The sequence below is a fragment of the Homo sapiens genome, chromosome 1 (genome assembly GCF_000001405.40).
Source record: "Homo sapiens chromosome 1, GRCh38.p14 Primary Assembly".
Lineage (NCBI taxonomy): Eukaryota > Metazoa > Chordata > Mammalia > Primates > Hominidae > Homo > Homo sapiens.
In genome coordinates this window covers 213,420,012-213,435,710 of record NC_000001.11, presented here as the reverse complement: position 1 = coordinate 213,435,710, position 15,699 = coordinate 213,420,012, and the positions used below count along the sequence as shown (strand labels likewise).

General features: G+C 41.9%; 1 protein-coding gene and 1 pseudogene across 1 annotated transcript in view, besides 1 other annotated feature; one reads left to right on the top strand and one right to left on the bottom strand.

The window, feature by feature from the left end:
• RPS6KC1 (ribosomal protein S6 kinase C1) overlaps positions 1 to 15,699 on the bottom strand; it is an 811,495-nt gene that overhangs the window by 427,025 nt on the left and 368,771 nt on the right. The gene's annotated exons all lie outside the window — the stretch shown is intronic.
• RPL31P13 (ribosomal protein L31 pseudogene 13) lies at positions 6,647 to 6,994 on the top strand (annotated as a pseudogene).
• Positions 9,530 to 11,090: an enhancer, noted in NCBI's record as "VISTA enhancer hs204". NCBI's record gives its function as "enhancer in: forebrain[4/5]" and the evidence as "EXISTENCE:transgenic organism evidence [ECO:0001131][PMID:17130149]".

Genomic DNA, 15,699 nt, shown 5'->3' with positions numbered 1-15,699 from the left:
AAGAACAGTACTCAGCATTGACACAAAGCTGGAAATAGTACCTGTTCCCACCAGCCAAATTGGAAAACCTCATAATTCACAGGGCATCAGGTAGAGTACTCACAGAGGCTTCCCTCATTAGTGAGCAAACATAAACTAAACACTGCTCTGTTTCTGCTTAACAAAGCTTACAAACAAGATTGAAAAGTATGAAACTGTTTCAAATAACTTGTCTACTTCCCCAAACAAAGTCTAAGAATACTTACAGGAATATAAAAATATCTAGTACCCAATGAGGCAATATTTACAATGTCTTGCATAAAATAAAATTTTACCAGTTATGCAAAAACAGGATAAAACAAACAATAATGAGAATAAAAATTATTCAAAGCAGAACCAGAACTGACACAAATGTTAGAATTAGCAGACAAGAACATTAAAATGGTTATTATCACTATTCCACATGTACAAAATTTAAGTAGAGGACTGGAAGATATTTTTTAAAAGATAAATTTCTAGAAAGAAAACTACAATGTCTGAGATGGAAAATATTCTAAGTGAAATTAACAGCAGAATAGACATTCCAGGAGAAATATTAGTAAACTTGAAAATATTACAATAAAAACTATTTAAAATGAAGCACAGAAAAATGAATTTTCTAAAAATAAAGACAGCATGAGTATGCTGTGGGACCACTCTAAGCAGCTTAATTATAGGAGTGCTGTAAATGGAATCATCAAAGAAGAGGAGGCAGAAAGAGAAAAATTACTTGAAGAAATAATGGTTGAAAAATTTCCAAATTTGATAAAAACCATAAACCCACAAATTTAAAACATTCTACTAGCCCCACAAAAAGAAACACAGAAAAAATACAACAAGGCACATAGTAATCTAATTGTCCTATACCAGTGACTGAGAAAATCTTAAAAGCAATCAGAAGAAAAAAAAACAGTCAGTTATATAGAGAAACAAAGATAGCCAGGTGCAGTGGCTCATGCCTGTAATCCCAGCCCACTGGGAGGCAGAGGCAGGTGGATCACTTGAGGTCAGGAGTTGGAGACCAGCCTGGCCAACATGGCAAAATGCTGTCTCTAATAAAAATGCAAAAATTAGCTGGGTGTGGAGGCATGCACCTGTAGTCTGAGTTACTCAGGAGGCCAAGGTGGGAGAATTGGTTGAACCCAGGAGGCGGAGGTTGTAGTGAGGTGAGATCATGCCACTGCACTCCAGCCTGGGTGACAGAGCGACACTCTGTCTCAACAAAAAAGAAAGAAAGAAAGAAAGAGAAACAAAGATAATAATGGTAGCAGATTTCTCATTGGAAACAATGCAGATGAGAAAATAGTGGAATATCTTTAAGATACTTAAGGGAATTTTTTTTAAAGGTGTAATCTAGAATTCTATACCCAACAAGAATATCTTTCAAAACTCAAGGTGAAATGAAGACTTTTTCAGAAATACAAAAGCTGACACAATTCATCACCAGGATATCTGTACTCCAAGAAATGTTAAAGGACGTCCTTTAGGCAGAAGGAAAGTGATACCAGATGGAAATAGCAACTATACAAATAATGGGAGAACAGTATAAATGTTAACCAAATGAGTAAGTGCTTTTTTTTTTTGCTTATCTGCATGTTGTTAAATGAAAAAACAAACACTAATACACAGTAAAAAAAAAAAAGGTAAGAAAAAATCTTCGTGATGTGTATTAGGGAAAAATGTCTTAGACATACAACAAAAGCAGTTCTATAAAAGAACAAATTTATAAATTGGACTTTCTCAAAATTAAATTGTCTGCTTTTTGAAAGACAGTCTTCAGAGAAGGAAAAAACAAGCCACAGACTGGGAGAAAATATTTGTAAGTCATATATCTGATAACAGACGTAAGTCCATAATATTTTCTTAACTTTCAACACTCAATAATAGTAACCAAACAATAATTTTTTAAATGGGCAAAAGATTTGAATAGATACTTACCCAAACACATAAAAAATGCTCAACATCATTAGTCATTTGGGAAATTAAAATTAATGTCACAATGAGATGGCACTATACACCAACTATAATCGCTATCATCAAAAACACAGAAAACCAAGTGTTGGTGAGAATACGCAGCAACTGGAACTCTCATAAATTGATAATGGCAACGTAAAATGTTACAGCCACTTTGGAAAACCATTTTTCAGTTTTCTAAAAGGTTAAACACACACCGTATGATCCAGCCATTTCATGCCTAGGTATTAACCTAAAGGAAATTAAAGAACAATTTAGAATAGGCAAAATAATCAACACCAATCTTCCAAATGTCCACACTCTAATCCCTGGAAGCTGTGAATATTTTACCTTACACTGAAAAGGGGGCTTTGCAGTTGTAATTAAGGTTACTGACTTTGATGTGAGAAAATTATCCTGGATTATGAGGGTAGACTTGATCCAATCACAAGAGTTCTTAAAAGCAGAGAGAGATTTGTTCCCAGCTGTGGTCAGAGAGAGATGTGATCATATCAGACAAGTCAGAGAGATGCAATATTTCTGGCTTTGAAGACAGAGGAAGCAGTCCATGAGCTAGGAACGTGGTTAACCTCTAGAAACTGGAAAAGGCCAGGAAACAGACTCTCCTCTAGGGTTTCTAGAAAGGAACTCAGTCCTGCTGACACCTTGATCTTAGGCCAGTGAGACACATATCAGTCTTCTGAGCTACAGAACTTTAAGATAATAAATTTGTGCTGTTTCATGCCACTAGATTTGTGATAATTTGTTATGACAGAAATAGAAAATTAATACATGTTCATAGCAGCTTTATTTACAATAGCTAAAAACTGAAAACAACACAGATGTTCATCAACAGGTGAATAAACAAATTGTAGTACATTCATACAATGGAAAATTACTCAACAATAAAAGAAATGAAATATCAATATACTGAACAACATAAGTTTCTGAAATAATTATGCTGACAGGAGCAAGACCAAAAAAAAAAAAGGGAAATGATTACATGCTGTATGATTCTTTTATGTAAAATTCTAGAAAATACAAACTAATCTACAATGACAGAAAACAGATCAGTGGCTGCCTAAAGATGGGGGGCTATGAAAGGTTGGGAGGTGGAAGGTTGTCCCATTACAATGAGACACAAGGAAGCTTTTGGGGGATGATGGTTATGTTTACTATCCTGATTAAATGGTTCCACAGGTGTATATATGTCAAAACATCCAACTGTACACTTTAAAATGTGTCATTTATTGTGTGTCATTTACACTCCAATAAAACTGTTAAACAAAATTTAAATAACTGCACAAGGCTAGTGGTTACTTAATTGGATAGTGCAGTTCTAGAAGATAAAAATAAGAGAATATATTTATAATGCTGAATATAAGTAACTGTTTCTTTAACTAAAAGTAATAACCATAAAGGAAATGACTATAAATTGTACTTCATTAAAACTAGGGATTAAAGCTCACCAAAATATAGCATTAAGAGGGTGAAAAGGCATGTCACGGAATGGGGAAAGATATTTGCTATGTAAATAGTAATAAATATGTGTGTGCACACCAGTGTGCATAGGACTTGTATCTAGAAAACATAAAGAACAACAAATCAAAAAAGTAGAGAACCCAATTTCTAAAATATGGGCAAAGACTTATACTGGCACTTCTCAAAAACACATGAAAAGGTGATCACTGTCATTAGGCACGTGGGAAATGAGAATTGAAACTGCAATGAGATACAGTATGCCCCTGCCATTTTAAATAAAACTGGCAATATTCAATGCTAGTGAGGGTGTGGAGCAGCTGGAATTCTCATACCTTGCTGTTGTCAACTGGTACAACCACTCTGAAACACTCTTTGGAAATCTTCATTATAATAGATCTGAACATAGATAGTCCCTATAAATCAGCAATTTCATCCGTAGTGCATGCCCACATAATACACACAATGTGTATTAAAACACATGTACAAGAATGTTCATAACACTATTATTCATAAAAGCCAAAAACTCAAAAACAACTCAAATGTCTACCAGTAATAGAATGGGTAAATAGTAACACACACACACACACACACACACACACACATACACACAAACAATGGAATACAATAGAGCAGTGAAAATGAACAAAATAACTGCCATACGCTAAAAACGGAATGAATCTTACAAACATAATGCTCATGGAATAAAAGAAGCAAGACCTAAAAGAATATATACTGAATAATGAATTAATGGCAATAGAAACCAGAATATTAGTTAGCTTTAGGGGAGAGTGGATAATGACCAGAAAGGGTAAGAGGGAGTGTTGTGAGCAGCCACTAAGTTTCTGCCTCTTGATGTGCCTGTTGGTTACACAGATGTATTCACTTTGGAAAAAAAAATCTCATATAACTAGGAATTATGTACTTTTCCGTATACTTGTTATTCTTGAACCTAAAAGTTTACTTTAAAAAAATCTCATTAAAAAAATCTAAAAATGTCAAATAAGAAATCAATAACCTAGATACAGTCTTGCCCATCAAGTCCTGAATGGGGGCTTTGCAAGTGTAAGCACCCATGCAGTGCTGGCCCATTCTCCCCACCTGTCATCTCTCAGGAGCAGATAATAAATATTCTCACCAGAAGAAAGAAATAATTGCAGCCACACAGTTTTTGACTTGAGATTTTCCTGGCTTTACACCTAATTTAACTAAAACATTCTCCTCCCCCTTCCCACACTCCCCCACCCCCAACCCATTTCTGTGTCCATTTCACTCAACTGAAACAACGGCAAGCGCGAATTCAGGTAGAGTGCAGAGGCAATTATAAAACAGATACTTGTAAAGGCATTGCTGCCATTTGTGCCTCTTGAAATATTATCCCTTATGAGTTTTCTCACTGAATTAGTGCCATTTAATGTGTGCATATGGCCAAGAGGAAAATATAAAATTGATCAATGAGAACAGGAAAATTACTCCAGAGAATCTTTGTGGCTTTGTGAATTGTTGCTTGACATTGTGGTTTTACCAAATATAATGGCATGATTTACAATTTACAACAGGGCTTGGGGGATGCAGATACAAACATTTTTACTTAAAATACCAGGAGCAGATGGGAAAAAAAAATACAGACTGGACTTCGTCCAGATGCTGAGGATGTTGCACATATTCCGACTCCTACATGAAGGCATAAATAACACCAATTCCTCATCATCCACAGAAATGCAAGAGAGTCATCACATAGGTAATCCAAACAGTAGATAAACACAAAATAATTCCTTATGTCAAATTGTCCTGGTATATATGTGCTACAGTCTCTGGTTCTGCTTGCTTTTTCTTATGGGGAGATCTGATGTCCTAGTTATTCATGATATTGCACACAAAATCGTGAAATTGCACCCTGAAGAAAAACTACCTGTGGAGCTGTGAAACTAAAAACTATCTCATTTTCTCAGCTCTGTCCCACCGTGCAATTCTGCTCAATACATTCCATGCTGGAAATGGGCAGTTTCACCTTTAAGACAGATAAGTAAGAATCATGATAGACTCGAGAGGTATCCAGAACTGGGTCTTTGTATTAGAACTTCCTCCAAGTAGCTCTGTGACATTTGACAAGCCTCTTACCTGATCAAGGCCTTGATTTCCCATCAGTAAGCCAGTGGAAGACGACTAGGTGACTGCGAAGGCTCACCTGGCACTAGGTAGCCCAGGGTCAGTCTAAGCAGAGCCAACCCTTCCTTCATGATTGCTACTTTCCCCAGGCCTCAGAATAATTATTTTCATTTTAAGTTTCAATCTTCTAGTTCCTGTTGAACTCCAATTTCAGTAGCAGATGGCAATGGTTATAAAAGCAATAAAGAAATTAAGTAAGCAACAGAGATGTTAACTAAGAGAGGAAAGCAAGATTTGCCAGAGATAAACTGCCACATAATCTACTTACAATCCACTGAAAGTTGGCTATATTTCTAATTATCTGGGTATTAGCATGATGCTCATTCCGTCTGGGGAAAGACCTAGAGGAAACAGAGATAAAATGCAATAGGAGGGATAGTGGGTGGAGATGAAGAAGAACTTCCTGAGAGGTGTTCAGACTAGAATTCATCATAGAGTTGCTTTGGGGGCCTGTTTCATACTATCTGCTCCAAGTATCCGGTTTTTCTAAGGTCTATGAGAGTGGGGAAGAGGTGATGATACTGAATTCTCAAAAGTATTCTTGAAAAAGCCAACAAGTCAGAGAACATTTTCCAATAAAAAGGTAGCGAGGGAAAGAGCAATTTCAAAAACAATTGTTAACATGTCCCCACTCCAGAAATGTTGGCCTAGCATGGTGGCTCACACCTGTAATCCCAGGGCTTTAGGAGGCAGGTGGATCACTTGAGTCCAGGTATTAGAGACCAGCCTGGGAAATATGGCAAAACTCCATCTCTACAAAAAGCACAAAACTTAGCTGGGCATGGTGGTATATGCCTGTGGTCCCAGCTACTACTCAGGAGGCTGAGGTGGGAGGATCACTTGAGCCCAGGAGGCAGAGGTTGCAGTGAGCTGTGACTGTGCCACTGCACTCCAGCCTAGGCAACAGAGCAAGACCCTGTCTCGGAAAGAAAAAAAGAAAAAAGGAACATCCTACTTCAGGGGAGGTCTTTGAAAATAAACTCCCAGATTTTTTTTTCCAACCTGGGCGCAACAGAATAGCTCCTACAAAAAGGGTAGTGAGAAGAAAAGGGGCTATTCTGATGTCAATGAAGTGGTGACCAGAAAGCACATCATCAACAGTCACAAGGGCAGCCATCGAGTGGACCTCAAGAAGTGTGGCCCTTGGGCACTCAAAGAGATCCAGAAACTTGCCATGAAAGAGATGGGAATTCCAGATGTGCACATTGACACCAGAATCAACAAAGCTCTCTGGGCCAAAGGAATGAGGAGTGTCTCATACTGTGTCCACGTGAGGTTGTCCAGAAAATATAACGAAGATGAGGGTTCAGCAAACAAGCTCTGTGTGTTGGTTACCTACGCATCTGTCACCACTTTGAAAAATCTACACAGTCAATGGATATGAGAACTAATCGCTGCTGATTGTCAAGTAAAGTTATAGCACAAGAAAGAGAGAGGGGGAGAGAGAAAGAGGAAAGACGAAAGAAAGAAAGAGAGAGAGGGAGGGAGGGAGGGAGGCAGGAAGGGAGGGAGGGAGGGAGATAAAGAGCGAGCGAGAGAGAAAGAAAGAAAGAGAGAGAGAGAGAGAGAAAGAGGAAGGAAGGAAGGAAGGAAGGAAGGAAGGAAGGAAGGGAGGGAGGGAGGGAGGAAAGAAGGAAGGGAGGGAGGGATGGAGGGAGGGAGGGGAGAGGAAGGGAGGGAGGGAGGGAGGTGGAGAGAGAGGGAGGTAAAAAAGAAGAGAGGAAGGGAAAGGAAGGGAAGGTCTCTCATATCAGCCTCTGGAGAATGGCTCTGCTTAAAGTAAGTAAAAACTAATAAAAGATGATTGCTATAGGCCTGCTCTAAACAGATGATTCACATTTGGAGCTAAAATGAGAGCGTGTCCAGGCAGCTGTTTGACAGGTCCCAGACTCTCTCATATAACTTGGTTTGAAAGGAGGCAGCCTCTGTGAGGCTCCTGAAAAGTCTGAGGCAGAAAACCTGTTCCCTGGTCTTCTGTAGTTCCTCCCTGAGAGAGGAAGTCACTTCTCACCTTGACCTCAAGGCCATGCAGAGGCTGTAGCAAACCGTGACTTCTCAGAGTATAACAGAAGGAATGGCAGGTACCACAACTGTGAAGACCAGGAAGTCAACCCCACAGCACAGAAGGCCATGAGAGCATCTTTTCTTTTGCCTCAGTCCCTGGATGTTGTTGGATGGATTCCTACTGCTTAGCATCCTAGACTTTCAGGGAAGAGTAAGAAAGCTGTAATGGAGGCTAACAAATTATGTGAACCTTGCCAAAGATAAATTAAGAAGCCAGAGCCGATCACAAGGTAAGCTGATTTTAGCAGATTTCATAGCTAACACGAGAACATTTGGAAAAACCTGCTCTTGGCACAAGAAAGACTTCTTGACTGCATTCATTCCTGTGTGACTTAGGCAAATGACTTAACCTCTCTGGTCTCTGCACTAGGACATTTTTCAACCAAGTATTTAGATACTGTACAAAAATGCATATAATAATTCAAAACGATTTAAGAAAAATAAATATTTATAGGAGCCAGAGCAAAAAAATATGATTTATAAATGGACAGAAAAATAATAAAGTTTTAGTGACATTAGCACATAAAATAAAGGCCATCTAGTCCTATCAAGCCTATGGATATGGGCTAAAATTTGGCCTTTGAGGTTCCTAGTAGCCAAAGCAAAAAGGAAAAGATCATCAGTTATAAAATACAGGGTGTGCATATGGTTCAAGGGAAGCGGAACCTTTCCTTAAACAGAGACCTACAAAAAATTCTTAGATGGTCTTTATAAAAATAAGGTTCTGTATGATGCAGTGACAGCATCTTCCACAAAGTTCCAAAACACAAAGAGATACATATGGCTCTTAATGTCCCCAGTTTTCCTATAGAGAAAATAGGGAAAATATCACAGATCAGTCAAACTCTTTCAATGCAATATTATAAACAGATAAAAAGAACTGACTTCTGGAAGCCTGAGCACTATAAGATGGCAGTGATTTGGCTGAAGTGGGAGAGTTTGTGCCATGCATCCACATGGGAAAACTCTGGCCAACATGATGGAGCATTTAGCAAGACCAGATGACTTCTGAGACTTGGGCTCTTACTTGCCTAAGGAACAAACTTGCCTTTTATTTATAACTCAAAGTTCTATTAGACAGGAGCTACATCCAGTATACATAGCAGCTAGAGGGCCTGTCATCATAACACAAACATAGTAGGGGTTTTATTTTATGTTTTCCTAGATGATAGACTGAATATGTAAATGTCTGTTCTCAATCTAATACTTCAGTATTAGCTACCACAGAGTCTTTCAGATCATATCACAATTAAATGTTGACTACGAAAGAATACACAAAAGCAAAATTCATCACTGTGTTAGCCCCAAAAGACTCCATTTGATATGCTAGCCTATTTAAACGGCAGCAGTGATGGGGCTAAATTAACCAACCATTAGATAGTGAATACTGGTATCCCAACAGGCACAGCTCAGTGACCTGAAATAGACATTAAGTCATTAGACATTAGTAGCCGAACCATATGTGTCCAGTTGGTCTCAAAAATTTTAGTCATAATCCTTTATTCAAATAAAATTGACATAGAAGGATATACAAATAATGGCTGAGCTACTCTAGTTACGGGGGAAGGAGACCGCAAAAACTCACTTGAGTCTGCACCAAAATCGGCCCTACCAGCCTTCCCAAATAAATCCACGTGCCACCCCAGTCCCCGAGGGCATGAGGTGGCCCAGCCTTCTCTCCCAGGTTATGAAGGAGGAGAAAAGAAGGCCTTCCACAACCTGCCCCAGGACTCACAACTTCATTCAGACTGCAGAAAAGCCCTCCCGCAGCCAAACTGAACCAAAGGGTGTTTAGAACACAATACCAGACACAAGGGAGCCAGGAGAAACCACAGCCAGTTGGAGAGGTCACCTGGCAGTCAGAATGTTCACACCCTGGCAGTGCGGAGGCCACCACTGATGTCCTCGTCCTCAGGTTAACTCTGGCTCTGCCGCAAAGGGTGCAGCTTCACCCACATGGGGAAAAAGGGGGCTCAACCACAGAAGAAGAAGAAAAGGAACAAAAAGAGGTATAAAACACTCTACTCCAATCTTGGGAGAATCTTTATTCTCTCTCGAGGACACCTGCCAAACTCGGGGACATTCCTCCCTCAACCCAAGCGTCTCCTGCAGAGGCCACGGGAAGCCTCCCCACCTTCCCGCTGGTCACCATCCTTCAGCATCCGCCCCGGCCACCACCACCGCCACCGCAGCAGCAGCAGCAGGGACAGCAATCCTGAACAGACCTCAAAAACTCTGACTAATTAAAGACAAATAATTAAACACATTCAGGCGGGGGAAGGTTGGCAAAGCCCTCCTGCATTGTGTGGCCACCTTGGCACCGAAATGGTTAGAGACCATATCCCTCCACGTCGCCTCCTCTCATTGTGGTGGAGAGCTCTTGAGAACGTTATTAGCTGGGTGTGCGCCTTGCCGTTTTTCCACACGAGGCAGATGGGTAATTACGAAGCTAATAGTCTGATTGAGAGAAATCAGATGCAGTGGTTTGCCCAATTAGATGATACATTAGCTTCCTTCTTTGTAAGCAGCTAATGTGTGAAGCAAAGTGGTATTTTCGAGGGTCAGAATCCTTAAACAAGTGCCGAGTTGCAGATTATTGTATCTCTCTTTTTTTTTCTAATGGAGGAAAAGTGCTAAGTCTTCATTACTAAAAGCATAGAAAATGCAAATCAGCTTCTGAAACAAAAGAGAGAAGGGACAGGCGAGAATATTTGGTGTCCGATGTGTCAACCTACAACATCAATTACATTGAAATGCAATGCATGGCAGCCTAATCAAGGATAGTATAATTGTAATAATTGCGTGCTTTTGTTGGAGAGCTGCTGCTGTTGTTATTTGTCAACCATTTGTTCCTCTCTATTGTTAAGGGGGGGAAAGATTTTTTTTTAATGTAACTGAGAGATTGTGTAGGTAATGGGTGAGCGGGCGGCCATCCTCAGAATGTGGATGAGGGGTCTTGCTTCCCTGCTACATGGCGGCTCCTCCGTGGCCCTGGTGAGTTGCTGGAACAGCGATGTGAGCTTGGGGCAGGAAGGGACAAAGTGGCTGGCTATGTGAGGGTGGGCTTCAGCCTCTGTCCTTGTCACAGTGCCCTGGGACAGAGGCAAGCTGAGGGACAGGCCTGAGGATGCTGGAAGAAGAGCGGTGCTGGCGGAGGAAGCCTCTCACAACATACTTTTTCTCTTTAGTAAATATAACAGGTAGGGAAGAAGGATGGGAAGGGGCTGCTACACCTCATCCTGCTTCTTGAAGTTTGGGCCTACAAAAGGACTTGGTTTATTTTGGTAAAAGACCATTGCCTGCAAAATGCCCAAGAGAAATAGGGTGTGAAATCCTGCATAAAACAACAACAAAATGAAAGTCGCAGTAGCTGGTATTCCAGCCAGGAGAGCACTGTCCATCAGGGTGCAGATGGGAGCATGGGCACTAACGCTCAAACCCAACTTGACCACTCACTGGCCTGGGCCAGGCCCATGGCCTTGTTATCCCCTGGAGTAACACAAGGGCACCAGCCATCCTGAGCAGCACCATATGGAGAGATACAAACCTCCAATGCTCTGAAGCCTTTGGCAGATAGAAAGAGCTCTCGAAACGCTTCTAAGTTACCTAAACCCATTTCTTCCCCTCTCCCTCCCTGCCATCTACTTTTTTTTCATGTGTGTAGATGTTCCCTCAAATGTACTTATAGAGAAGGGAAAAGAGAGAAAGCCAGCTTAACAGCCACCTTTGGAAAGAACAAGAAAAGAAAACACAAAACAAAAACAAAACAGGGATGTTCGTAGAAAGCCGAAGTTGAGTTGGAAAAGTCTTCTTAGGAGCAGCTCTCAGCATTCAGATCAGATAAGAGGTTTATTTTCTCACTTCAATTGGTCTTGCCAATAGGTTGAAACAGAGGCACAATGGAAATGGGCTAAAACATTTAACAGAGCTGTTAAATCTCATTCTCCACAGCTAAAAAAGAACAATCCCGGACCATCTTTACCAAGGGGAGGCTTCATGGGCTGTAGGAGGCTTTGCATGTATCCCTGACAATCCTGTACATACTCCAAAACTCACACTAATTAAAAGCAAATAATCAAATACATTCAATTTGAAAAGTTGGCAAACTCGCGTGTATTATTGCGTTAGCACCTTGGCATGGAAATGCTCACATCGCGCTAATCTCGTTGTGCAGAAGAGCTCTTGAGCTCGCTATTCACCGAGCCCATGCCCCCTCCTCCCGCCGCCTCCCCTCTGGGCCTGCCTTCCCCACCAGCCCCCTGCCGCTCCCCCTCCAAGGCTCCCACTTTAAAGGCAAAATAAGGAAAGAAACTGTGCCTCAAGATGAGCATTTGCTAACACTTGGAACTAACAGAGGCTTGACATAGGAAAGAAGTCCTTTCCTCTTGCTGGCTTCTCAGCTACCTAGAGAGAGAAGGTCGGCGTGATGCTGCAGTTTTTAAATAAAGTTTTCAGCAGTGAGCCTTGGCTGAGCTATTTGCAGTCGACATCCTCACCCCCCAAAGCCACCCTCCTGGGTACTCTCCTTGTCAAACTGGTGGCTAAATCTGGGCGATGAGCTGACAAAATGAGAAGAAAGCCTCAGATCCGATGCTGCTGCCTCTGGGACTTGAGTTTCTTAGGGGCTGGTTGAAGGATGAGAGGAGGGAGTTGCCCAGAGAAATACAAAACTCCTGCCATCAAGAATGGGGTGAAATGAGCCCAGACTGGCCAGAATTTTTCTGGCAGATCTGCTACCTGAGGCGCATTTCTCTCTCATCCTGGGCTGCTGCCAATCACAGCCTCCCAGCATCCAGGGCTCAGAGGAAGATGGGCAGCTTGTCCTCAGCTCCGAACAAAAGAAAAACAAATAAAGTCACATTCAGCCACATGACATTCGTGTCAGATGGAAAAGGAGCAGGTCATGTGGGCAGTGCCTGTAGCTGGTTCTGCAAGGCCAAGAAGATACACATGAAGTAGGCACATGTCTGCAGAGCTCCTGGAAGTAGGTGCCTGAAGAAGTCACAGGGATGCCTTGCTAGTGAAACTCCAGGTTTTTCTGTGGGTGGAAAGGCCTTCAGGGCTGTTCCCTGCAAGTGTAACATTTCAGACCAATTTCTAATGTGTCCTGGGTCACCGTAGTAATTAAGCAAGAGCATCAACCTATTGGTACTTCTGTTACCTCTGGAAGAATTTTTTGAGGGAAGCATTAGGCAGATGCCTTGGTTGAATCCTTGCAGGTGTAATATGGTGTCAATACAAACAATGTGTTGGACAGTTCTTGCAAAATCTGACCACTCCCTTCTCCTTCCTTCTAATACAGTCCATGGACTGCATGATGCCCACTGTCAGGATGACTCCCTTTCTCCTCGCCTAGTTCCTCTTCATTGTTTCTTTCCTTATTCAACAACTCACTCAATCACTCATTCCTTAATGTATTCATTCAACAAACACTTAATAAGTAATAAGGTTTTATAGATACTATAATCAACCCTTAGAATACAAAGGTAAATAAGGTTAGACCCAGCAATTCCACTTCTGCATATTTCCAGAATTGAAAGCAGGGACTCAAACAGACATTTGTACACCAATGTTCATAGCAGCATTCTTCAAAATAGCCAAAAGGTGGAAACAAACCAGATATTCATTGACAGATGAGTGAATAAACAAAATGTGGCATATACCTATAATAGAATATTCAGTCTTAAAAAGGAATGTAATTCTGACACATGCTACAACATGGATGAACCATTTGAAGACATTATGCTAAGTGAAATAAGCTAGTCACATAAGGACATATACTGTATGATTTCACTTATATGCAGTACCTAGAGAAGTTAAATTCATAGAGATGAGGGCTGGAGGAAGGAGGGAATGGGAGCTGGTGTTTAACGGGTACAGAGTTTCCATTCGTGAAGATGAAAAAATTCTGGAGCTGGACAGTGGCGATGTGAATGTCCTTAGTGCCACTGAACTGTACACTTTAAAATGGTTTCAATGGTAACTTTTATGTATATTTTGCCACAATAAAAAATAATACCAAAAAAAAGTGAGTAAGTTTAGTCACAGTCCTCTAGGAACTTGGGGTCTAGCAAGGGAAGAAGCAAGGTTAAAACACATAAATAGTAAATTCAATCCCATGAGGTTGGCACTATTACCACACTAGGCAGAGGGAGACGGGGACCCAGGGTCTGCCAGAGATGGCTGTGATGCTGCCTCCAGGTCAGGTCATCTCCAAGCCTGAGCACCTTTATCTGCAAGCCAGGATGGTAACAACCTTTCTCTGTGCCTCACAGAAGTGTTGGGAGCACCTACCACGTAGCAGGTACCACACCAGGCCCTTTAGTTCATTCAACCTCACATTCAATCAATGAAAGAGAGATTTGACCAGTCATTTCCACTGAGGAAGCAGGGGTAAGAGAGGCTGAGGGGTGGTGGGTTCCACCATCACACAGCTGGCAACCTGGAGCCCCAGGGTTAGAACATAGCCCTGTATGGATGTCAAACCCATGTTTTTCTCACTATACTATTTGGTCTCATTCAAATTTTACAAGTGGCTAACCGAAAAAGACATACCTAATGAAGAGACAGACTATTAGGATTTAATTGTGTCCTCTCAAAAAAGATACATTGGAGGGCCGGGCGCAGTGGCTCACACCTGTAATCCCCACACTTTGGGAGGCCAAGGTGGGTGGATCACCTGAGGTCAGGAGTTAGAGACCAGCCTGGTCAACATGGTGAAACATTGTCTCTACTAAAAATACAAAAAATTAGCCAGGCATGGTGGCGCGCACCTGTAATCCCAGCTACTCGGGAGGCTGGGGCAGGAGAATCACTTGAACCCTGGAGGCAGAGGTTACAGTGTGAGCCGAGATCACACCACTCCAACAAGACGGAAACTCTGTCTCAAAAAAATGAACAAACAAAAAAACCAAACATATGTTGGAATCCTAACCCCTAGTACCTCAAAATGTGACCTTATTTGGAAACTGGGTCTTTAAAGAGGTGACTAAGTGAAAACAAAGTCATTAGGATGGGCCCTAATCCAATATGACTGGTGTCCTTATCAGAAGGGAAAATTTGCATACAGAGACAGACATCACCCAGGGATAACGCTGTGTGAAGACTGGAGTGATGCTGCCATAAAGCCAAGGAAGCACCAGAAGCCAGGAGAGAGGCGTGCATGGGGTCTGCCCTGCATGTTCAGAGGGAGCGTGGCCCTGCCAGCACCTTGATCTCAGATTTCCAGCCTCCGGAAGTGTGAGAGTAAACCCGTAAACTACCCAGTTCATAGTACTTTGTCTCGGCATCCCAAACAAGCTAATACAGGGGTCAACCAAGGGAAATTGAGGGGGAGCCTTCTGTGAGGCTTTGAGGACATTCACCTGTGGGCCTTGGGGACTCTGGCAGCCCTCAGGAATGGGCCGTGAAGCAGACAACTGGGATTCCAGTTTTTCTCTCTCCTGCCACACCCACTCCTACTCACACTCCTCACTACCCTCCACCAGGATAGGTCTCCTTAAGAACCAGATCCATGATGCTTTGCTTTTGCCTTTTTGTCTTGTCTGTAAGCATTGTTGGAGCTTCAGGGCCGTTCTGACAGCTGTTTCACAGTGTAGAGTTGTTTCCATTGTAAATTACAGGTGGGAGTGCACCTCTGCTCTGGGCCTCACATCATATCCCATACCCCACAATGCATGGCTGTCCCACTTTACCCTACTTTTTCCTTTTGGGAACCTAGAACTCTAACCTGAAGGCTACATACTCTCTGAGAAAACCAGGACAGCTTTGGTGCTATAGTTTCAGCACATGGGTTTAAACAGAGCAGGGGCCGAGCTGCCCAGCTTAAACAGATCTGGAAGCCAAGGGACCTGGGAAGCCACATTTCCTCTTCCAATCCTCCCACGCAGTGGCGAGATTAAGCAGAGGGCTTTGCAAAGGAACTCCAGGAAAATACTGATAAATTGAAGAGCAATCGACAAGGCACTCAGGCTCCCTCCCTGAGCTCCACCCAGCCCCCTAAATTTGTGTCAAATC